We start from the raw sequence: 24845 nt of genomic DNA, 5'->3' as shown, positions 1-24845 counted from the left end.
CTTAACCTCTTGCACATGTATAATACAGTTATAATTGTTTAAATATCTTTGCCAGATAAATGCAACAGTGTGGCAGTTCACAATTTTGATTGATTGATTTTTCTCTTCATTCTGGGTTATATTTCTATCTTTCTTTGCATCCCCAATCATCATTCATTGGATACTAAACATTGTGTTTTTTTGTTTTGTTTTGTTTTGTTTTTTGTTTTGTTTTTTTGGATGAAGTATCGCTTTTGTCCCGCAGGTTGGAGTGTGACGGTATGATCTCGGCTCACTGCAACCTCCTCCTAGCAGGTTCAAGTGATTCTCCTGCCTCAGCCTCCCGAGTAGCTGGGATTACAGGCGCCTGCCACCACGCCTGGTTAATTTTTGTATTTTTAGTAGAGACAGGGTTTCACGATGTTGGCCAGACTGGTCTTGAATGCCTGACCTCTGGTGATGTGCCCGCCTAGGCCTCCCAAAGTGCTGGGATTACAGGCATGAACCACTGTCCTTGGCCAACATTGCGTTCTTAATCTAATTAAATGATGAATATTTTTGTATTCCCACAGATATTCCTGATCTTTGTTTCCAAATGTAGTTAAGGTTCTTGGAAATACTTTGTCCTCTAAAGGCTTGCTTTTAATATTAGATAGGGTCAGAAGCTTCTTTAGTCTTGGGCTATCTATTCTCTATTTCCATGGCAAAACTCTTCTAAGTACCCTACTCCATGAATTATGCCCCTCGAATCATATATTTTTCCAATTTGGATAGTGGGAACTGGCACTATTCTCGAAGAGCAAATATTCTTCACATTCTAGTTTCCTCCAATTCATGCATTGCTCATTACTCTGCTGAATATTTAAGGTGTATCTGCTGATGATTTTCCTAGGTTTTTTTCTTTGCATTTCCCTTCTCCCAGGTAATCTGTCTTGCCAGCTGTAGCCGCTTTGGTCTCCCCAGACTCCCATATCTGTCTCTGTAAGTCAAGATGTTGGCTATTCCTGACCTATATTTCCCCTTTTGCACTGTGGACTGAAAGCTCCCTGTTGCAATTATAAGGCTCGTCTAATTTATTTTCTATTTCTCAGGGGTCACTGTCTTTTCTTGCCTGAAGTCCAGTGTCTTGAAAAATGTTGTTTCAGCTTTTTTGTTTTAATTTTTTTTTTTTAAGGGACAAGGTCTTCCTCTGTCACTCAGGCTGGTCTCAAACTTCTGGTCTCAAACTACGGGCCTCAAGTGATCCTCCAACTTCAGCTTCCTGAGTAGCTAGGATTACTGGCAACAGCCAGCACACTTGGCCATGTTTCATCTTTTGAACTTTGTGTTTTTTCACGGTTGTTTCAGGTAGCCAGCTAAATATTATCACTTTATTCCATCTTTGTTGGAAGCAGAAGTCTTATTTTAAAACAAAAATTTTAAACTTTACAATGCATTGACCAAAACCATTTTCAATATTATTATTTATTCCAAAGAGTGTGTTGTAGAAAACATAATAAGCTGTAATGCCTAATGGGAAATAAATAAGAATGCTAGCAGTACCTTTTTAAAATACACACACTTCGGCTGAAATATTTAGTTAACCTGTGTTTGTAAATAGCAAGGTGTAAAGGGTATTGAATTCTCTTTGTCCTTAATCAGTTACTTTAATTCAGTATCAAAGTAGCTTTTTTTCCTGAGGCAATATGAATTGTTTTCATGATATATTTTTTTATTCTGCTGTCTATTTAGCTCAATGGTGGCATAGTGTAAAGGAAAAGGAAAAGTCAGCAAGGTTTATTTCAGAATTTTCTTGAGAGTTGAGTTTGACACAAATAGCAAAAGCATTCTTCTTATCTTCCTCTAGATCCCAACCAAAAGAGGTTTCTGTAGCCCTCATCATGTGAGCCAAAATCCTATGATTAAACCAAAAGTTTTTCTAAAAGTCCTACCAGTAGCCATAAAAGAGCTCTCTTTTCCTATGAGTTCCTCTTTAATTTATTTATTTATTTATTTTTTTTTTTTTAATTTCTTTTTTTTTTTATTATACTTTAAGTTTTAGGGTACATGTGCACATTGTGCAGGTTAGTTACATATGTATACATGTGCCGTGCTGGTGCGCTGCACCCACTAACTCGTCATCTAGCATTAGGTATATCTGCCAATGCTATCCCTCCCCCCTCCCCCCACCCCACAACAGTCCCCAGAGTGTGATATTCCCCTTCCTGTGTCCATGTGATCTCATTGTTCAATTCCCACCTATGAGTGAGAATATGCGGTGTTTGGTTTTTTGTTCTTGCGATAGTTTACTGAGAATGATGATTTCCAATTTCATCCATGTCCCTACAAAGGACGTGAACTCATCATTTTTTATGGCTGCATAGTATTCCATGGTGTATATGTGCCACATTTTCTTAATCCAGTCTATCATTGTTGGACATTTGGGGTGGTTCCAAGTCTTTGCTATTGTGAATAATGCCGCAATAAACATACGTGTGCATGTGTCTTTATAGCAGCATGATTTATAGTCATTTGGGTATATACCCAGTAATGGGATGGCTGGGTCAAATGGTATTTCTAGTTCTAGATCCCTGAGGAATCGCCACACTGACTTCCACAATGGTTGAACTAGTTTACAGTCCCACCAACAGTGTAAAATGTTCCTGTTTCTCCACATCCTCTCCAGCACCTGTTGTTTCCTGACTTTTTAATGATTGCCATTCTAACTGGTGTGAGATGGTATCTCATAGTGGTTTTGATTTGCATTTCTCTGATGGCCAGTGATGATGAGCATTTTTTCATGTGTTTTTTGGCTGCATAAATGTCTTCTTTTGAGAAGTGTCTGTTCATGTCCTTCGCCCACTTTTTGATGGGGTTGTTTGTTTTTTTCTTGTAAATTTGTTTGAGTTCATTGTAGATTCTGGATATTAGCCCTTTGTCAGATGAGTAGGTTGCGAAAATTTTCTCCCATTTTGTAGGTTGCCTGTTCACTCTGATGGTAGTTTCTTTTGCTGTGCAGAAGCTCTTTATTTTAATTAGATCCCATTTGTCAATTTTTTCTTTTGTTGCCATTGCTTTTGGTGTTTTGGACATGAAGTCCTTGCCCATGCCTATGTCCTGAATGGTAATGCCTAGGTTTTCTTCTAGGGTTTTTATGGTTTTAGGTCTAACGTTTAAATCTTTAATCCATCTTGAATTGATTTTTGTATAAGGTGTAAGGAAGGGATCCAGTTTCAGCTTTCTACATATGGCTAGCCAGTTTTCCCAGCACCATTTATTAAATAGGGAATCCTTTCCCCATTGCTTGTTTTTCTCAGGTCTGTCAAAGATCAGATAGTTGTAGATATGCGGCGTTATTTCTGAGGGCTCTGTTCTGTTCCATTGATCTATATCTCTGTTTTGGTACCAGTACCATGCTGTTTTGGTTACTGTAGCCTTGTAGTATAGTTTGAAGTCAGGTAGTGTGATGCCTCCAGCTTTGTTCTTTTGGCTTAGGATTGACTTGGCGATGCGGGCTCTTTTTTGGTTCCATATGAACTTTAAAGTAGTTTTTTCCAATTCTGTGAAGAAAGTCATTGGTAGCTTGATGGGGATGGCATTGAATCTAGAAATTACCTTGGGCAGTATGGCCATTTTCACAATATTGATTCTTCCTACCCATGAGCATGGAATGTTCTTCCATTTGTTTGTATCCTCTTTTATTTCTTTGAGCAGTGGTTTGTAGTTCTCCTTGAAGAGGTCCTTCACATCCCTTGTAAGTTGGATTCCTAGGTATTTTATTCTCTTTGAAGCAATTGTGAATGGGAGTTCACTCATGATTTGGCTCTCTGTTTGTGTGTTGTTGGTGCATAAGAATGCTTGTGATTTTTGCACATTGATTTTGTATCCTGAGACTTTGCTGAAGTTGCTTATCAGCTTAAGGAGATTTTGGGCTGAGACAATGGGGTTTTCTAGATATACAATCATGTCGTCTGCAAACAGGGACAATTTGACTTCCTCTTTTCCTAATTGAATACCCTTTATTTCCTTCTCCTGCCTGATTGCCCTGGCCAGAACTTCCAACACTATGTTGAATAGGAGTGGTGAGAGAGGGCATCCCTGTCTTGTGCCAGTTTTCAAAGGGAATGCTTCCAGTTTTTGCCCATTCAGTATGATATTGGCTGTGGGTTTGTCATAGATAGCTCTTATCATTTTGAAATACGTCCCATCAATACCTAATTTATTGAGAGTTTTTAGCATGAAGGGTTGTTGAATTTTGTCAAAGGCCTTTTCTGCATCTATTGAGATAATCATGTGGTTTTTGTCTTTGGCTCTGTTTATATGCTGGATTACATTTATTGATTTGCGTATATTGAACCAGCCTTGCATCCGAGGGATGAAGCCCACTTGATCATGGTGGATAAGCTTTTTGATGTGCTGCTGGATTCGGTTTGCCAGTATTTTATTGAGGAGTTTTGCATCAATGTTCATCAAGGATATTGGTCTAAAATTCTCTTTTTTGGTTGTGTCTCTGCCCGGCTTTGGTATCAGAATGATGCTGGCCTCATTAAAATGAGTTAGGGAGGATTCCCTCTTTTTCTATTGATTGGAATAGTTTCAGAAGGAATGGTACCAGTTCCTCCTGGTACCTCTGGTAGAATTCGGCTGTGAATCCATCTGGTCCTGGACTCTTTTTGGTTGGTAAACTATTGATTATTGCCACAATTTCAGCTCCTGTTATTGGTCTATTCAGAGATGCAACTTCTTCCTGGTTTAGTCTTGGGAGAGTGTATGTGTCGAGGAATTTATCCATTTCTTCTAGATTTTCCAGTTTATTTGCGTAGAGGTGTTTGTAGTATTCTCTGATGGTAGTTTGTATTTCTGTGGGATCGGTGGTGATATCCCCTTTATCATTTTTTATTGTGTCTATTTGATTCTTCTCTCTTTTTTTCTTTATTAGTCTTGCTAGCGGTCTATCAATTTTGTTGATCCTTTCAAAAAACCAGCTCCTGGATTCATTGATTTTTTGAATGGTTTTTTTGTTTCTCTATTTCCTTCAGTTCTGCTCTGATTTTAGTGATTTCTTGCCTTCTGCTAGCTTTTGAATGTGTTTGCTCTTGCTTTTCTAGTTCTTTTAATTGTGATGTTAGGGTGTCAATTTTGGATCTTTCCTGCTTTCTCTTGTGGGCATTTAGTGCTATAAATTTCCCTCTACACACTGCTTTGAATGCGTCCCAGAGATTCTGGTATGTCGTGTCTTTGTTCTCGTTGGTTTCAAAGAACATCTTTATTTCTGCCTTCATTTCGTTATGTACCCAGTAGTCATTCAGGAGCAGGTTGTTCAGTTTCCATGTAGTTGAGCGGCTTTGAGTGAGATTCTTAATCCTGAGTTCTAGTTTGATTGCACTGTGGTCTGAGAGATAGTTTGTTATAATTTCTGTTCTTTTACATTTGCTGAGGAGAGCTTTACTTCCAACTATGTGGTCAATTTTGGAACAGGTGTGGTGTGGTGCTGAAAAAAATGTATATTCTGTTGATTTGGGGTGGAGAGTTCTGTAGATGTCTATTAGGTCCGATTGGTGCAGAGCTGAGTTCAATTCCTGGGTATCCTTGTTGACTTTCTGTCTCGTTGATCTGTCTAATGTTGACAGTGGGGTGTTAAAGTCTCCCATTATTAATGTGTGGGAGTCTAAGTCTCTTTGTAGGTCACACAGGACTTGCTTTATGAATCTGGGTGCTCCTGTATTGGGTGCATATATATTTAGGATAGTTAGCTCTTCTTGTTGAATTGATCCCTTTACCATTATGTAATGGCCTTCTTTGTCTCTTTTGATCTTTGTTGGTTTAAAGTCTGTTTTATCAGAGACTAGGATTGCAACCCCTGCCTTTTTTTGTTTTCCATTTGCTTGGTAGATCTTCCTCCATCCTTTTATTTTGAGCCTATGTGTGTCTCTGCACGTGAGATGGGTTTCCTGAATATAGCACACTGATGGGTCTTGACTCTTTATCCAATTTGCCAGTCTATGTCTTTTAATTGGAGCATTTAGTCCATTTACATTTAAAGTTAATATTGTTATGTGTGAATTTGATCCTGTCATTATGATGTTAGCTGGTGATTTTGCTCGTTAGTTGACGCAGTTTCTTCCTAGTCTCGATGGTCTTTACATTTTGGCATGATTTTGCAGCAGCTGGTACCGGTTGTTCCTTTCCATGTTTAGCGCTTCCTTCAGGAGCTCTTTTAGGGCAGGCCTGGTGGTGACAAAATCTCTCAGCATTTGCTTGTCTGTAAAGTATTTAATTTCTCCTTCACTTATGAAGCTTAGTTTGGCTGGATATGAAATTCTGGGTTGAAAATTCTTTTCTTTAAGAATGTTGAATATTGGCCCCCACTCTCTTCTGGCTTGTAGGGTTTCTGCCGAGAGATCCGCTGTTAGTCTGATGGGCTTCCCTTTGAGGGTAACCCAACCTTTCTCTCTGGCTGCCCTTAAGATTTTTTCCTTCATTTCAACTTTGGTGAATCTGACAATTATGTGTCTTGGAGTTGCTCTTCTCGAGGAGTATCTTTGTGGCGTTCTCTATATTTCCTGAATGTGAACGTTGGCCTGCCTTGCTAGATTGGGGAAGTTCTCCTGGATAATATCCTGCAGAGTGTTTTCCAACTTGGTTCCATTCTCCCCATCACTTTCAGGTACACCAATCAGACGTAGATTTGGTCTTTTCACATAGTCCCATATTTCTTGGAGGCTTTGCTCATTTCTTTTTATTCTTTTTTCTCTAAACTTCCCTTCTCGCTTCATTTCATTCATTTCATCTTCCATTGCTGATACCCTTTCTTCCAGTTGGTCGCATCGGCTCCTGAGGCTTCTGCATTCTTCACGTAGTTCTCGAGCCTTGGTTTTCAGCTCCATCAGCTCCTTTAAGCACTTCTCTGTATTGGTTATTCTAGTTATACATTCTTCTAAATTTTTTTCAAAGTTTTCAACTTCTTTGCCTTTGGTTTGAATGTCCTCCCGTAGCTCGGAGTAATTTGATCGTCTGAAGCCTTCTTCTCTCAGCTCGTCAAAGTCATTCTCCATCCAGCTTTGTTCTGTTGCTGGTGAGGAACTGCGTTCCTTTGGAGGAGGAGAGCTGCTCTGCTTTTTAGAGTTTCCAGTTTTTCTTTTCTGTTTTTTCCCCATCTTTGTGGTTTTATCTACTTTGGTCTTTGATGATGGTGATGTACAGATGGGTTTTTGGTGTGGATGTCCTTTCTGTTTGTTAGTTTTCCTTCTAACAGACAGGACCCTCAGCTGCAGGTCTGTTGGAGTACCCTGCCGTGTGAGGTGTCAGTGTGCCCCTATTAGGGGGTGCCTCCCAGTTAGGCTGTTCAGGGGTCAGGGACCCACTTGAGGAGGCAGTCTGCCCGTTCTCAGATCTCCAGCTGCGTGCTGGGAGAACCACTGCTCTCTTCAAAGCTGTCAGACAGGGACATTTAAGTCTGCAGAGGTTACTGCTGTCTTTTTGTTTGTCTGTGCCCTGCCCCCAGAGGTGGAGCCTACAGAGGCAGGCAGGCAGGCCTCCTTGAGCTGTGGTGGGCTCCGCCCAGTTCGAGCTTCCCAGATGCTTTGTTTACCTAATCAAGCCTGGACAATGTCGGGCACCCCTCCCCTAGCCTCGCTGCCGCCTTGCAGTTTGATCTCAGACTGCTGTGCTAGCAATCAGCGAGACTCCGTGGGCGTAGGACCCTCCAAGCCAGGTGCGGGATATAATCCTGTGGTGCGCCATTTTTTAAGCCCGTCGGAAAAGCGCAGTATTCGGGTGGGAGTGACCCGATTTTCCAGGTGCTGTCTGTCACCCCTTTCTTTGACTCGGAAAGGGAACTCCCTGACCCCTTGCGCTTCCCAAGTGAGGCAATGCCTCGCCCTGCTTCGGCTCACGCACGGTGCGCGCACTCACTGACCTGCGCCCACTGTCTGGCACTCCCTAGTGAGATGAACCCGGTACCTCAGATGGAAATGCAGAAATAACCGTCTTCTGCGTAGCTCACGCTGGGAGCTGTAGACCGGAGCTGTTCCTATTCGGCCATCTTGGCTCCTCCCTCTTTAATTTATTTATGCTGTTCAGTACTCAGCTAGACAGAGGGCAATTCTAGATAAGTTCTAGGTAAAAGATCAATGACTGTAGTAAAACTTACCTCTACCTCTGTCTTCTAAAGTCTCTCCATTGAAACTAAACCAATAAACGCTGAGTACTATTTTTCCAGCTTATATTGTGCTCATGTATTCTCTAGAAGGGGAAAGTTTTCTCTATTGATCCCTATACTGGTATATGAAAGGCTCATTTTTTTTTGTTTATTTTTTGGTTTTGATGGGGCTATCATGGATTCTCTCACAATTTCAACAGAAAATTATCTACTAGGGGGAAGGGCTGGGATGGGAGTTTATATGGTATATAAGTAAAGTAAAAAATAAAGGGATCAGTATATTCACACAATATTGAAAACTGATCCTGAATTTAACTGTGACCTAGTAAAAGACTAACTTTATTAGCAACACTTACAGCTTTGCAGATAATAGACCATCAGTAAGCATTATTTTGAGTCTGTGTTTAGGACATCCCAGAGCTTGCTCATCTCTTACTTATCTCCCCTATAAAAGTCTGTACCATGATAATTTTCCAGTATCAATATGCCTAGCATTCTTGGCACTGTCTTGATAATTTATACTAATAATCTTCCTTATTTTACCCAGAAATATCATGCCTATATTTCAGTGTGCTGATCTTCTAGATAATTCTGATCACTCTACATAATCTGAGTAAGGTTTGTCCTTCCCTCATTTCACATATGATTTTACTGTGATTTATTTTTGACACTGTTTATCCACATTTTCTTTAACATAGCCGTGTTGAAAATCTCTCATATAAAATAACATCCCTGAAACCCTACAGAAACAAAAAAAAATCTATTTTAACATACTATTATTTTTCCTTCTTTCCTCATTTTTCTTGTAACTAATAGAACTCAACTTTTGTTGGGATGCCAATGTCCTTTATCTAAAGTACTTACCTTCTAGGATGCTTTTATAGGCAGGGGTGTCCATTAGACCAAATGCTGGTCAATGGTATTTGTATGGAATTATATTGGGTGGTGCTTTTGGGAAGATACTTTTCTCCTGATGTAAAGAGCCAGACTCAGCTGTCATGTACATTTTATCCTTTGCTCTTACCCTGTGTTCCTGCCTGAAGTCCAGGTTCAATAACTGAAAGTATGAGTGGCCACCTTGAAACTGTAAGTGAAGCAGGCTAAGAATGACTGTGAGAAAATTAGAACCACTGCACCAGCACTCAATTGCTTACTTCCACGATCCTTATTTCACTGAAAAAAATGTGTATTACTCTTGAGGGTTTGTATATGTAGCTAAAGGTACTGATAAATTATATACCAATGTGTGTGTGTGTGTGTGTGTGTGTGTGTGTGTGTGTGTGGTAGAGAGGTGGAGGTATTGTCCAGATTTATATCATTATATCATTTTACAACAAATATATTCTGTTAATGCTATGTAGTTACTAGTAAGAGATAGAAAGTCCACCCTAACATATGTGGTATTAATAAGCAAAAATGTAGTTTTAATTCTAAAGAGAACATAACATATTTTAATACCCTTAAATTTCACACAGTTGGCCAGGCGTGGTGGCTCACGCCTGTAATCCCAGCACTTTGGGAGGCTGAGGTGGGCATATCACAAGGTCAGGAGTTCGAGACTAGCCTGATCAATATGGTGAAACCCCATCTCGACTAAAAATACAAAAATTAGCCAGGCGTGGTGGCACACGCCTATAGTCCCAGCTACTCAGGAGGCTGAGGCAGGAGAATCGCTTCAACCCCGGAGGTGGAGGTTGCAGTCAGCCGAGATTGTGCCACTGCACTCTAGCCTGAGCAACAGAGTGAGACTCCAAATTGAAAAAAAAGAAAAGAAAAGAAAAAAAGGCCGCGTGTGGTGGCTCATGCCTGTAACCCCAACACTTTGGGAACTGGTGTGCCTGTAGTCTCAGCTACTCGGGAGGCTGAGGCAGGAGAATCACTTGAAATCGGGAGGCGGAAGTTGCAGTGAGCCGAGATAGTGCCACTCCACTCCAGCCTGGCGACAGAGTGAGACTTTGTCTCAAACGAAAGAAAGAAAGAAAGAAAAACTCACACAGTTTTCTTATTTACCTATCATCTGAATAAAAGAACACTTTACACAACCATTTTTGCTGTTTAAAAGTTTTAAATTGTTTTACTGTTTAGAAAGTTCAAATGCACATCCTCAAGATATAATTATCACATTTTCTGTTTGAGGCAATTTCTTTAATTCTTTAATAAATGTGAATTTATCATATTAAATTGGTCATAAATAATAAATGAGCCAAAATTTATGCTTTAAAGCTGATAAGATATGTGAGCCACTTCATTTGATGTGTATTTTGGATCCCCATTGTCTTTACTGACCTGATGATTTGACTCTAGGATGCTTCATAAAACTTCAGACAACCCTTAATTTTAAAAGAGATAGACAAATGCACTATTTTAAGTGGCTTTTGACATAATTCAATAATGTTAATGAAGACTAGGTTTAGGCTATGAAAACTTACTCACCTTATTATTGAAACTATCCTGAATGCACTAAAATAAAAAGTGTATACCTATAGGAGAAAGAGGTAGAAGGAAGGAAGGAATGGGAGGGGGGCGGGGAGGGACAGAGGGAGGGAGGGAGGGAGGGGAGGGGAGGGGAGGGGAGTTAGTTGAGCTTTTGACTAAGTCTAAGATGTAGAATTATGCTACTTAAGGTTTGCCGAAAGGATACTGTATGTTGGTTTAGAGGTAAGACTGAACTACTAATGAAAATACAACAAAAATATTTGCAAATATTTATTAAGCCTCTTAGGTATGGATTACATTATAGAAGTTACTTTATTCAGACTGAACAGGATGTTTGATTATGGCATTTGCATTGCTTTCCTGTTATTCTTCTAAGTATCTTGAAGGTAGTTTTTTCATTTTTGTTGATCCACTAATCATCATGCCTAAAGCTCTGTTTACCCATGTATTTGCCAATCTGCTGTATTCACAAACCAGATAAATGCAAACTACTATTTTCCCTTATCAAAAATTGCATCAATTATTAATATATGCTGATGTTTACAGACTATATAATGAAATGCCTTCCATAAAGGCATAATATATGTCACAGTCAATATATGTCACAGTCAAATTGGCACATACACTTCACAGGGAAGAACTTTTAACAATTATATCAGTCTAACCTAAAAGATAGTGTTTTTTGTTTTTCTTCCAAATTATGACCTCTCTGCTTTGATCTGGGAGAAAGGGCTATCATAGTAAAGGTAAATCTGTGCAAAAAGGAAATTGAGTTAGAATACCAATCAATACAATCCCAACACTAAGATTCCATGTTTCTACATCCATTTTGACTTGTCAAACACCAAAAGATAAAGCATGCTTCCCGTACCATAAATCTTTCCAATCGTAAGCTTTGAGTGGCTTTTAAAATTTCTTTCAAAGTTTTTCCCAATCTTTCTTAATTATTATTGGGGGAAATTAATTCTACGTTCTTTGTTTAACAATGTGCTTTACTTTTATCTCATGGCTGATTCAGAACAAGAGTTAGTAACATATTATATAAAATATTTGAAAGATAAGTGTCACAAATCTGCCAATCAGCCTTCAGTATAACCGTTAACTCTCTCCCTGTCCACTCACCCTACATCAAAGCCTGCCAAATAGAAAGCCAAGCACAGAGGTCCCAGCCATGCTTCTGATCCCTTTATTCTTAAATATGAAGAAGCAGCAAAGGTTGACAAGACATTTGAATGGAGTATAATGTGAAAAGCAAGACAAATCAGATGTACAAGTGACCTCAGAAGAAACAGATAATTTATAAAAGAAGATAGAATGTTCAAAAATCACATACCACTCAGAGAGACTTGTGAAATAAGTACAACCATAAAGAATACCAGGGTTACTTGACAAATGACACAAAAAAATTAAAAGTTTACTTCAAAATAAAAGCCATTTTTACAGTAGAAGAAATAGAAGTTAAAATAACACAACCACCCATTTAATAGGGTGAGAGAGAGAGAAAAATTTCTCCAGAATGTCAGCCTCATAAACTGACAAGATAGATGCTGTAACACCCAATGAACGAAAGTTCTAGAAAGAGAGAAAAGGGAAAAATAAAAGTGATATTTTCAAGGACATAATGGTTCTGGTAATTAAGGAATAGTTGATTTAAACTAACCATCCTGCTCAAAAATTTTCTAAAAATGAAACACAGAAAATATCTGAACATCAAGGACCTTATAAGATCATGACAAATGAATGGTTTAAGCAATGAGAAAGGCTTACATCCTCAAGAAGGGAACAGAGCTGTTTCTGCTCAGAAGCGTTTGCCAGTAGAATTCAGAGCAACACAGAAGACTCAGAGATTTGCATTAGAGAAACTCAGAAGTCAGGGAGAGAGGAGTCAGAATGTTTGGGCAACCAAAGATGGAGCCACCATTTGTGGAGAAGACTTCACATACATTTTGTTGGGACCCAAGAGCTACTATATTTACTTTGGGTCTGAGAAAAGTCACCAAAGGAAGAACTTCATACTTGGAAGTGGTACTCCAACAAGAAATAGAATTTATATTCAGTATCTAGTAAAGATGAAGACCAGGAATGCAATTTCTGCTCTGGACTGGGACTCCTAATGGCCACACACTGTAGCTAGAGAAATAGATATTGCTAAACTCAAGATCAGTTCAGTCACAGGCTCTGGACTGCTAGCATATTCAGGTGATCGACAAAGAAAAGAAAATCTTATTTTAAGGAATAAAGGTGATTTCAAAGAATATCACAGCCGGCGCGGTGGCTCATGCCTGTAATCCTAGCACTTTGGGAGGCCACGGCGAGTTGATCACGAGATCAGGAGCTCAAGACCAGCCTGGCCAAGATGGTGAAACCCTGTCTGTACTAAAAATACAAAAATTAGCCGGGTGCAGTGGCAAGCGCCGCCTGTAATCCCAGCTACTCAGGAGGCCGAGGCAGGAGAATCGCTTGAACCCAGGGAATGGAGGTTTCAGTGAGCCGAGATCATGCCATTGCACTCCAGCATGGATGACAGAGCGAGACTCTGTCTCAAAAAAAAAAAAAAAAATTCTCAAAATTATATCCAGCAAATAATCATGGAGACAAAATACATCGAAAGCGAAAATCAAAAAACATAATAAAACAGGTAAACAAAATAGACCAACCAGACCCAAAATAGACCACAAAATAGACAGTATGAAGAGAAGGCCTATCTTCCATTTGATTTAACTCCTAAATGGAAAACAGAGATAGTGGGGCAGAGTTAATGTCTAATGAACCATAGTGAAAATAATTTCCAGAAATGATTTAAAAAGCATCATTTTACTCTTAAAGAAGCCGAATAAAACTTAAAATAATAAAATAAATCTTCCTAGACACATATTAAACTTCAGAAAATAAAAGACCAGACAAAAATCTTGAAATAAAATATAGCCAGGAAAAAAGGCAGATTAACCGTAAAGGGATGGCATTTAGACAGACAGCTGTCTTCTCAGGAGCAATATTAGAAGCAAATGCAGTAAGAATCCTACCTTTAGGGTGATAAAAAGGGATACATGCCAGACAATAATTCTATATTTAGAAAAATTTTTAAGAATTCAGGTGAAGTAAAGCTATTTTCAGGCACACACATATGCACAAACAGAAAAAAACAAGCTGAAGAAATTTGTCACACAGACCCCACACTAACAGAAAATTTAATTATCAGGCAAAAGAACAATGTTAGTAGAGGAAATATTCAAGATTTTAATTCAAATAAACATTGTTTCAATTTCTGAATGAACGATGACTACCTAAATGAGCAATCATAAGAATATCTTACAGGTATTAAAATATTTAGTGCTAAAATATGTGACAGCAATAGCATATAATTTTGAAGGCTATATGTGGGGTTAAAATATTCTAAGAATCATATATTCTCTAAGAAGAAGGTAAAGGTAACAGCAAAAAATGAATTCATTAAATTACAAAGGTAGAGCATTCTTTTTATTAACGAGGATAGACTAAGCTTCATTTCAGTTGGATGGTGGAAAAGGACCTTGGTTGCTTACATGATAAATGATAATCTCTCTTTCATGTCATAGTACAGTGCTTGTTGACAGAATAGTCACTAACCTTTTATCTTGTAGCTCCACTGGCCTCTACATTTTTTAAGACTTCCGTATTTAGTTTCTGCATGAGGAAAATGCAAGCATCAAGTGTAAGGGCAAGCTAGAAGTTGTGATTGTTTTTGTTCATATTCCATTGGCCAGAAATTGATTTCATCGTCCTGTCTAACTGAAAGTGTCAGAAAGATGTAGCCATCCTATGCATCCAAGAATAAGAGATCAGGGTTGTTGGTGAGGCTGCCACATTTTGAATGGAAACGGCTCAATGAGAAGCAAGCTGGGTGAATTGTACTGACCCATTCAAGATAACAAAATCGTAGAATTCCAGAGAAGACAGATAGGAGGGAGGAAACATGATGGGCAGTGTGAGGATGTAGAGATCCTCATTTTATGTTAGAAACTTAAGATAAACTGTCAAAAGGGAAGTTTACATTTTTTTACAAAGGAATTCCAAGCGTAGTTGACAGAAGAACAAATGGTATTACTTATTTTAGTTCTAAGAAGTTCATAAAGGAAGGGGAAATAGAAGAGCTTAGAAATGTGGCAAAGCCTCATCCTGTCCTTTATGGCAGGGGTCAACAAACATCTTGTACAAGGTCAGAGAGTAGATATTTTTGACTTTGTGTGCCAGAAGGTCTCCTGCAGAAGCTATGCAGCACTCAACTCTGTTGCTAAGCGAGAAAACATCTCTAGATAATAAGCAGCAAAATGGAGCTGGCTGCTTTCCAAGAAAACCTTATTCACAAACATAAGTGTCTCTGATCCCTGCTTTATGACAAGAAGATAATAGATGGCTACAGCACATTACTCAGCAATAGGATCAACATTTAGAATTATGAAAATAACCCTCACCAGAACAATAATAAAAAAGATTAAAATAAATTGCTCCAGAAACCAGGACTGGGGGATTCCATTGTATTATTTGACACTTTCCAGTAATACATATGCATAATTTCAACCACAATAATGTCAGTATTCTCACTTTGGTATTTTTAAGTTTAGGAGAACAGGGTTGGAAAGACAGTGTGATGTGAGAATGAAAATTAGATTTATAAAAATATTAAAACAGAGTATTTTTGCCTTAGGAAACAATAACTAAAACACAGTAAAATTATACAGGGTCCCAAATGTTCAACCTTAAATAACCTAAGCCTTCATTTTAAGTGTGCAGAACAAAGAAATGACAACTTCTGCTCCATGTCTTAAAGCCAGGAAGGGGCTAGTCAGGCTAGTACAACAACCTTGTATTGTTAGAGCCATGTTCTTCCCACATTTCCATTCTTCCTCCGTGGTTATTGAATGCCCACCAAATATGAAGAAATGAGAGACCATCCTGGTATGTCTGTAAGGATTTAATGCTTTCTTTTTAAAACCAAGTTGATTGTCATGCTTTTAGGTTCATACTTTCCTCTGAACCTGTCCTTTGTCCTGCATAGATCTGTAACTTAATTTATGTGACACATAAAATTAACCTTTCTAATCTTTGGAGAATTTTTTTGCAGGTGTCAAGACAGTATCATAATTGGTTTCTTTCTATGCATTTATGTGTTAAAATGTCTTTACCCTTTACCAGACTCATGAAAAACTCTTACATTTATAGGAAATTAAGAATAAATCAATTTCATTTTGTGAAGTCACTACTTGAGCTTGAGATTGTGGGCCTTTACTTTTCTTAATTTGAAAAAAATTATTATGATTTTACCCTTTAGCACTAATATTTCACACTCTTTAGAGATTTCAGTGATGCTGTTAGCCATTAATGCAAGTCAGTCATACAATGTGCAAAGGACAATGTACATCAGTCATACATTTTTATGGAAAGCACCGTAAATAATAGCGGCCACTGCCACATGCCCCAGATCCTCACACCAGGGTAACCACACACAGCCACTAAATAAAAAGGTATAAATGGGAAAATACAGTTAGAGTAGGAGTAAGACATTGTACTGCACATCAAATGCATCATAAAAGGATGGAACCTGCATAGTAGTGCATAGTATGCAGTTGTTCTTGAAAAAGGTGAATTGAAACATGGAATATGTCATAACTTGACATCATGTCTTCTCACTTCAGCATATTGCATAGTCTGCTCCCTCTAACACAGAACAATCTTTTCCTCATTCTTTGTGTAGTCAACTCACAATTGTCATTTATGATTCAGTGCATGTATCATTCCACAGGGAAGAATTCCCTCACACACACTCCAGGTTATGTTGTGGTGTTTTCACAGCTCTTTAATATTTATTAATAGAAAATTCACTATTTAAATAACAGTTTGGTAATTATGAGCAAAAGTGTCCATTAAATTGTAAATAACAAGAGGGCTTTCAGGGACCATCTCTGTTCTGTCAACCTCTGTTTCTCCAGGACTTAGTGCAGAGCTGAATATACAATTGACACTCAACAAGCATTTGTCTTAAAGTATATGATTGAGACAATGATTATTTTTTCCACATATTTTAATAATGTTTACAAAAATGTGCCTCAGAACATTAGGGTCATTCATTCATCTCTGGAAATATAATCCATAGTAAACCTGAGTCTGTCATTACCTAATAGGTGTGGAAAAGTAGAAGGGAAGCACAAAGGCACTTAGCCTTTAGTGTATAGGTCCTAGATTCATTCATAAAATAAGAAAAATAATTTGATATTTCACTCTTGTCAAATGAGCAACACCTGAACCTCAATTTTGGTGATTACAATAGAAAGAATATATCTACATAGGTAATTCTACCCCATAATGCCTTTTCTATTTGCATGCAACATTTTTCAAATTGCAGAATTACAGTCTGTTTAGGAATAATTAAAATTGATTTCTGAAAACTTGTGTCAGATAGTTGCCTAAAAATATGTCTATAATAATAAATATTTGATATTCAGAATTTGTGAATAGAGATGAAAACTATAAAAAATAAGTTGTTCTCTGCAAAAAATCTTGGAACCATTTCAAAATATTAAAATTATTTAGAGAAATTAGTCCCGATTTTGGCAAAGGGAGTGAAAACTTTTCTCTGTATTTGTCACCTATGAAACTAACCTTTGTTAGTTCCCAAGTGATAAGTTTTATCCACAGTTGGTGTATGATGGGCAACTTTACCATTTTAAGATTTTATTGCTTAATTCAAAATTAACTTCATGATTCACTGAATAATTGTAATGCCTTTTTTTTCTTGAATGGATAACTGCAATCTTTTGTATGTATGTGTTAAGTATCTTGACAGGGGAGTGGGTTTGCAAGGAACTTTAACATAGACACACCCGTCCCCACAAAACACATACAAATAATAAAGCAATATACAAATATACATTATATTAAAAAAATGGAACTAGTGTTATGCTAAATTAAAATATCCCAGTTATCAGGAAATACCATTCTGGACATAGGCCCTGACAAAGATTTTATGGCAGACTCCAAAAGCAATTGCAACAAAAACAAATATTGACTAGTGGGACCTAATTAAACTAAAGAGCTTCTGCAAAGAAAAGAAGCTATCAACAGAGTAAACACACAGACTACAGAATGAGAGAAAATATTTGAAAACTATGCATCTGACAAAAGTCTTATATCCAGAATCTGTAAGAAACTTAAACGAATTAACGAATTAACAAGCAAAAACAAACAACCCTATTAAACAATGGGAAAAGGACATGAACAGACACTTCTCAAAAGAAGACATACAAGCAGCCAACAAATATATGAAAAAATGCTCAAGATCACTAATCAATATAAAAATACAAATCAAAACCACAAGGAGATTCCATGTCACACCAGTCAGAATGGCTATTACTAAAAACTCAAAAAATTACAGATGCTGGCAAGGCTACAGATAAAAGAGAATGCTTATACACTAATGGTGGGAACATAAATTAGGTTAGTCACTGTGGAAATCAGTCTGGAGATTTCTCATAAAACTTAAAATAGAATTACCATTCAACCCAGCAATCCCAGTATTTGATATATACCCAAAGGAAAAAAAATATTGTTCTACCAAAAAGACACATGCATGCGTATGCTAATTGTAGCACTATTCACAATAGCAAAAACGTAGGATCAACCCCGGTGCCCATCAACAGTGGATTGGATAAAGAAAATGTGATGCATATACTCCATGGGATACTACTCAGCCATAAAAAAGAACGAGATTATTTCCTTTGCAGCAACATGGATTGAGCTGCAGGTGATTATCCTAAGCAAATTAATAGAGGAACAGAAAATGAAATACTGCATGTTCTCACTTATAAGTGGGAGCTAAACATTGAGTACACATAGACACAAAGGAAGGAACAACAGACACTGGGGCCCACTTGAGGGTAGATGGTAAAAGAAGGGTGAGGATCAAAAAGCTACCTATCTGGTGCTATGCTTATTACCTGGATGACAAAATAAGCTGTATGGCAAACCCTGTGACATATAATTTACTCGTGTAACAAACCTGCACATGTACCCTCTGAACATAAAGTAAAAATCGGAAGAAAAAATAAAATTAATATAATATTCCAGTTGTCTTCTCTGTCTACCCTATATGGATGGTGCATTATTATAACGTGTACCTCCCATCTCTACAGCCAATGATTTCTACATATTATACAGAGTGATAATCAATCACAAATCCAACATTTCTGTTTGATACTTACAAGATGTCAAGAAATGCCAGCAACAATATGGGCACCTATCTCATCACTTGGTCTATGTCTGGCTTGTTTAATGAGGTCCATTGAATGGCCAATAAATGCATGACTTTTTGTGGAACAGATAGTATTTTGAAATATTGACTAAGATAAAAATATCTTGCATCCAAAGTTAAATGCCATATTTTCATCTATTGAATGATCGCATTCTTCAGAATCCCTATCAATAAAATTACTCCAACACATACTCATTAAATTAACTAACTACTGTTTTTGGGACCACAAATGCACAGGAGACTCAAACATAAAGACATCACCAATTTGCATACAGTCTAATATTAAACACAGTTGCCTATTTACAAATTAAGCAAAAATAATTTGACTATGTGGTTTATAAACAGTAAAATAGAGAGTAAGAGAAACAGGTTCCAATTTTGTCAGTGGAGATGATTACATGAAAGTCTTTTAGAGAGAACTTACTTTATCTTGACCATATAAATAGAAAAGTAGGGATAGAACTTCAAGATAAATTTTCCTCAGACCTTTGAGCTTTATGGAACTTAACTCAGAGCCTTGGAAGCTTATGTATCTTTGAAAATTATTTTATAGATTTGTTCTCAGGAAATATTTTTGAGCTTATGCTAGGCAAACAAATGGTGGAAAATTCTGGTTCACTCCATAGCAGTTTAACAAAGTAACATTGGAACTCTAAATATATCTATAAAATTGACAGCTGGATGAGGTGGTTCATGTCTGTAATCCCAGCACTTTGGGAGGCCGAGACGGGCAGATCTCCTGAGGTCAGGAGTTCAAGACCAGCCTGGCCAACATGGCGAAACCCCGTCTCTACTAAAAATACAAAAATTAGCCGGGCGTGGTGGCGCATGCCTGTAATTCCAGCTATTAGGGAGGCTGAGGCAGGAGAAATGTTTGAACCCAGGGGGCGGAGGTTGTAGTGAGACGAGATCGTGCCACTGCACTCCAGCCTGGGCAACAGAACGAGACTCCATCACAAAAAAAAAAAAAAAAAAAGACAATTGTACAATGACTTCCTGACATTAATTTGTGCAGCCTACCAATGTTAATTTGTGAAACTATAATGACAACAAAGATTTCCTGTCTCCAAACAGGAAGAAACTTAGATACTAATCCTAGATTTGCCCAAAACTAACTGATTTTTAAAAGGTAAATTATCCATTCTGTTTCAATTTCCTCTTCTATCTTATTTAATACTACAAAATAATGGAGCAGGATTAAAAGAGTTTTAAGATCCCTTTCCAAAAACATATTTGTGAATAACATTCTACATGAGAGATTTTCATGAGGGGAAGGGATGTCTGAGAGGAGAAATGTGTGGAAATTTGGAGAAGGAGAGTTAAAAGCAGAAAACTACTGGGAAGTGGTTCCAGATCCATGCTGGGGGAATCAGTGTAACTTTTGGGTAGGTTTCACATTTCTGGATATGTATTTTTACTTTGTTAAAAATAAGATGGAAGTACAAAATTGGTATCTTGAAAGTTCTGAGATTTAGTTAAAGCCTATAGACAGCACCCTGAGCAAAGATGCTTACTTCTAAACGAACAGACATACATCACTAGTGCAGACCTCTTGGTTTTTCCTGGTGCAGTACCTATATTCAGATCCTCAGGTGGGCTTGGTCCTTCATCCATAGAAGGAAAGACAGAATCAGTGAAATATGTGGGAAAATGGTACTATTAACTCATGTTGTGAAGTCCAGCTGTAATTTATCTTCTCCATGTAGCCCATCTTGATGCCTCCAGGTAAAATGCATTTCTCCTTTCCCTTTGAGAAGTGGTCTCTAGCCTTATTAGGCCCCATGATGTCATGCCATCTCTCCAGCTTCCCCTATTCAGCTGTGTCTCCAATTCTCCAGTATATCTATTCTAAATGTTCTTTCTCTTAAATTTTCCAGCTTCATGACCCCAATGAGAGCAATGAAGGTACAATCACAAGAACATAGGGAGTAGAAAGAGAGAAAGTAGATACTGTGACAATGGAAATACTATACAGCAGATTGGCCCATATAGTGGCAAACTAATAATACCTAGTAGAGGGTAGAAGGAGTAAAGATTGTTTTATTAACGTTTGTTGATAAATTAATTTAGATGAGCCAGGAGAGAAAGAAAGATACAATTGTAGGACAGAAATCATAACTCCAAAAGCATCACTTTCAGATGTCAATGGGATTCAAAGCACTGGTAAAGAATTGGACTTATGTAGCAGGAGGTATACAGCCTCCTTAGTATCCTGAGATAATACAAGATGGACACAAATGCAGATAGGATTACACATCAGCTCTGGGAAGAAATTGCAAGATAACCTGGCTGGTGGCTGTTACTTTTCCCTGTAACATTTTAAATACTGTCATCTGCACCAATAAGCAATGTGGAGCAACGTGGAGTTCGGCTTATAAGGAGGAAGTTAAAGATTTGAGTAGAATAGAGAGGCTTAACTTAATTGATTTTGAAGAATGAGAAAAGTTACTGGCTGAAGAAAAACTAGTAGAATTTTAGGGCTGTGTTTATGACCCGACTGGATTTGGCAGGTATAATATATGGTAGCGCTAATTTGCACAGATGTGTGACTTTGACAATGGCAGTGCCTGTCCAGAAACATGAATAGAAATAATAGATCATTGTGTTTTACAGGGATGGTGTTCTTCTATGCACATGTGAAATAAAATAGCATAAGGACAGTAGTTTGTGTTGTGAGGATGAATTCCTAGCCAATAGGATGAGGTGAAAGCAGGAGATAATTCCAGATTGAAAAAAAAAAAAAGATAAGTCAATTCACAAAAGATTTTCATGAAGTTGATGACAGGCTTAGTGAGAATACATTTGCAAGTACACTAGAAGTATGGACATTTGTTTTTATGTTGTAGGAAGTTACATTTCAGAAGTACCAACTTCTGGTTAGTGAAATAATATGTGTAACTTTGAGAGTCAGAGACGAAAGAAAGGGAGAGGATCTTATTTAAGACTAAGAAGACATAAAACTGAGAGTCCAATGGGTCAGTCAGATTACAAGTGGGATGTTCATGTCACCCAGGATGGTGGCAAGAGTGAGGTGGGAAGATTGTGAGTCACATGTCAGAGACTTCCTGAGTGAGGCTCCTGCCCACAAGTTTGATAGATGACAAGGGGACAGATGAATAGACATGAGAATAAGCTTCAATGGAGAGGAGCAGCAGCAGATCATATAATATGATAGAGCATTTGGTAAACCAGAAATGATATTAGAGTAGAAGCAAAAAAGGTATCTCTATTCCAACCCCACATAACGTAGTGGTGGAAGAATTATTAAGAAAAAATTATAAATAGACAAAAGAGATGATTGTGTGTTCTTCCAGTGATGTGCTGGACATTGACCAAGCCTACCTAAGGATTAACTTCAGGGGTATGTAACTTGTTAGACATGTTATTGACTATTGATTAGGATATTGTATAACTCTATAAGGATATATTTGCTTTTAGAAAGTATAAAAAAGTAGAATTTTTAAATGATAGCCATACAAATGAATTTTGTCCAGGACAGGTACAAATTGTTTCTGTTATAAAAATATGATCCACAGGCCATTATACACATTAGTTAATATTGTATATAAGTTACAAATTTTATTCAAGCATGCATTCTTTCTTCTAGCGAAACATAAATATGCCTTTCAACAACTCTCTTTGAACTAGTCTTGTTATCTTATAATGAACTAAATAAATTTTGACATGTGTGCACTTTAAATTTGTTTAGAAGCCAAAAGGCTTCACTCTTTGAAACTTACATTTTGACAAAATAATCCTTCACTTGAGAAGCCTGAATAGGATATGATGTCTACATGTGAAAAGTTGAAAAATGTAATAATTACAGAAGAATCCATCTAGCCATTGTTTATAACATGAAATTGCCTGATTTTCTTTCTGATATAGCAGAATGTTCAAGATTCTAATTTTATTTTAGAATAACCTAAAAAGGAATATTTCTAATGAAAGCATAAAAGAGGTAAAATAACTATGATAATGTTTAATACAAAGTCACCCAGAAAATGCCTTCATACTAAAATTAAAAGGAGTAAGAAGATATATTCCCTTATGACAAGAAATTACAAATGGTGATTCCATAAATCACTACGGGCTTTCCTTTTCTCTCATCACCATCTCCTTTCAACAGTACAACTTATGTATGTATGTCAGATTAGAAGTTTAGTCATTCATTCAGTTATTGAAAAAAACACATACATGGTGTCGAATATGACAGAAGTACTAAATGCTTTACCCATATTAACTGATTACTTTACAAGAATAATTTGCCGTAGTTATGCATGAAGCAGAGATATGCAAATTCTAGAGGTCCAAGGAAATAAGATCATAATGGGAATTGCGAGAGAGAAAACAGGATCAATTTTGTTGTGGTGGTTTCTCAGTTGGTGGTGCCTAGAAAGAATAGAAAGAAAAGCTAAACCTACAAAAATAAAAGTCATCAATATCCAGGAAAAGAAGAAATATAAATACTTTTTATGTTACTTAATTTAAAGATTTTGAGAAATAAACCAAAGTAAAACCATCTCTGGTTTTCATCTACAGTTATAATTAAGATTGAATTTGAATTTTGTGAATTTCATACTGAAGTTAGAAGGCATTGATTGGCTGGGGAAGTTAGAGTGTTGCATAGCTGACAAATTAAAGAATCCAAGCACTTGCTTGATGGTGACAATTATCTTGAACTGTGAATTATGATGGTCTAATTTTTGCAACACAAAAATTAGAATGTGAATTATAATGGTCTAATTTTTGCAACACAATTCTATGGTGAATTATAATGTGAATTATAATGGTCTAATTTTTGCAACACAATTCTATGGTTATAAGAAAATCTTGGCTGCCACTACTACATTTAATTAGGCCATTTCTATTGGGCTGTGGAAATATCACTGTATTCAGTCTAACAATTATGCTTGAGTTCTATTGATTGCTGAGTTGATAACTTTGACCTCTTCCCTCCAATATCTGCTTTACCTGATTTCTCATCTACACTTTTGCCAGAACCAGCTGGTCAAAGTGCAGGCCATTAAAAAAAAAAAAACTCAAACAACCCTGCAATTGGTTACACCATAATTTTATAACACCCAACTCCACCTGAGTTGTGTTGAACATGAAAGATCAATTGTGAAAATTTGTTCAATAAAGAGTCATTGAGCCACTGCTCTCTCTAGGCACTGGGGTTTTGGTGCTTATGATACATAAGTGGAGAACACTATCAAAATCCCCACCCTAAAGGAACTTACATTCTAGCACGGCTAGAGAGAATGGCAAAAAAAAAAAAAAAGTATAGAAGTCAAGATTAGCACTCAGTTTTAAAAGTACATATCTAAACCACACAACTGATGAACTATTATCTATTGTTCCTCTCAGAATTCTAGCTGCCCTACAGTTTGAAAGAAAAGGGCAAACAAAGGTAAATTTTAAGATCATTGTTATGTGGAGGTGGGGATGTGTTACTTTAACATCCCTCCAACAGACACCCCTCTGCAAAGGCATCCAAGTCGTGAAAAATACAATTAATTTTAGCCACATAAAAATCACACAGCAGAGAGTACATGACTTGGATCTCTGATTTGGGGAGTAAAGAGTTACTGATTCCAGTTGTATTTTGTGAGTTTCTTATAGCAAACTGGCCTTTTTTGGAGTAGAATAAACTAGATTTACTCCAAGTGAAGAGAATTCTGGAACTCTCTTTTATTGTCCTTACCCACCTATATAAGCTATTATGATGCTTAGCTTAGCAGCAACTCCATTAAGATATCAGTAAATGGCCCAGGCAACTGAAAGATGCCCTGAAAGGGCAGATAGTGTTGAAAAATGTCTAAAAGGTCTTCCAAAGAATAACACAACAGGTTCATATCTCCCTAATGGTCGCCACCCTGTGTCTTCAGTGGCCATTGCAAGTCTTCAATGTTTTTCCCTTCTTACCCCATCATGTAACACCTTCAAATCATAATGCCACTTTTTCTCCATGGAGAATATAGAACCTAGCAGTCTAAAAATTCACTG

General features: G+C 37.3%; 1 annotated feature.

Moving 5' to 3' along the window:
* Nucleotides 860–1060: a silencer, noted in NCBI's record as "peak3771 fragment used in MPRA reporter construct". NCBI's record gives its function as "represses an SCP1 promoter by STARR-seq MPRAs in K562 erythroleukemia cells {active_cell/tissue: K562}" and the evidence as "EXISTENCE:reporter gene assay evidence [ECO:0000049][PMID:32103011]".

This window comes from Homo sapiens, chromosome 2 (genome assembly GCF_000001405.40).
Source record: "Homo sapiens chromosome 2, GRCh38.p14 Primary Assembly".
Taxonomy (NCBI): domain Eukaryota; kingdom Metazoa; phylum Chordata; class Mammalia; order Primates; family Hominidae; genus Homo; species Homo sapiens.
Note: the sequence above shows the minus strand (reverse complement) of the source record. Positions and strands in the feature narration are given on the sequence as shown.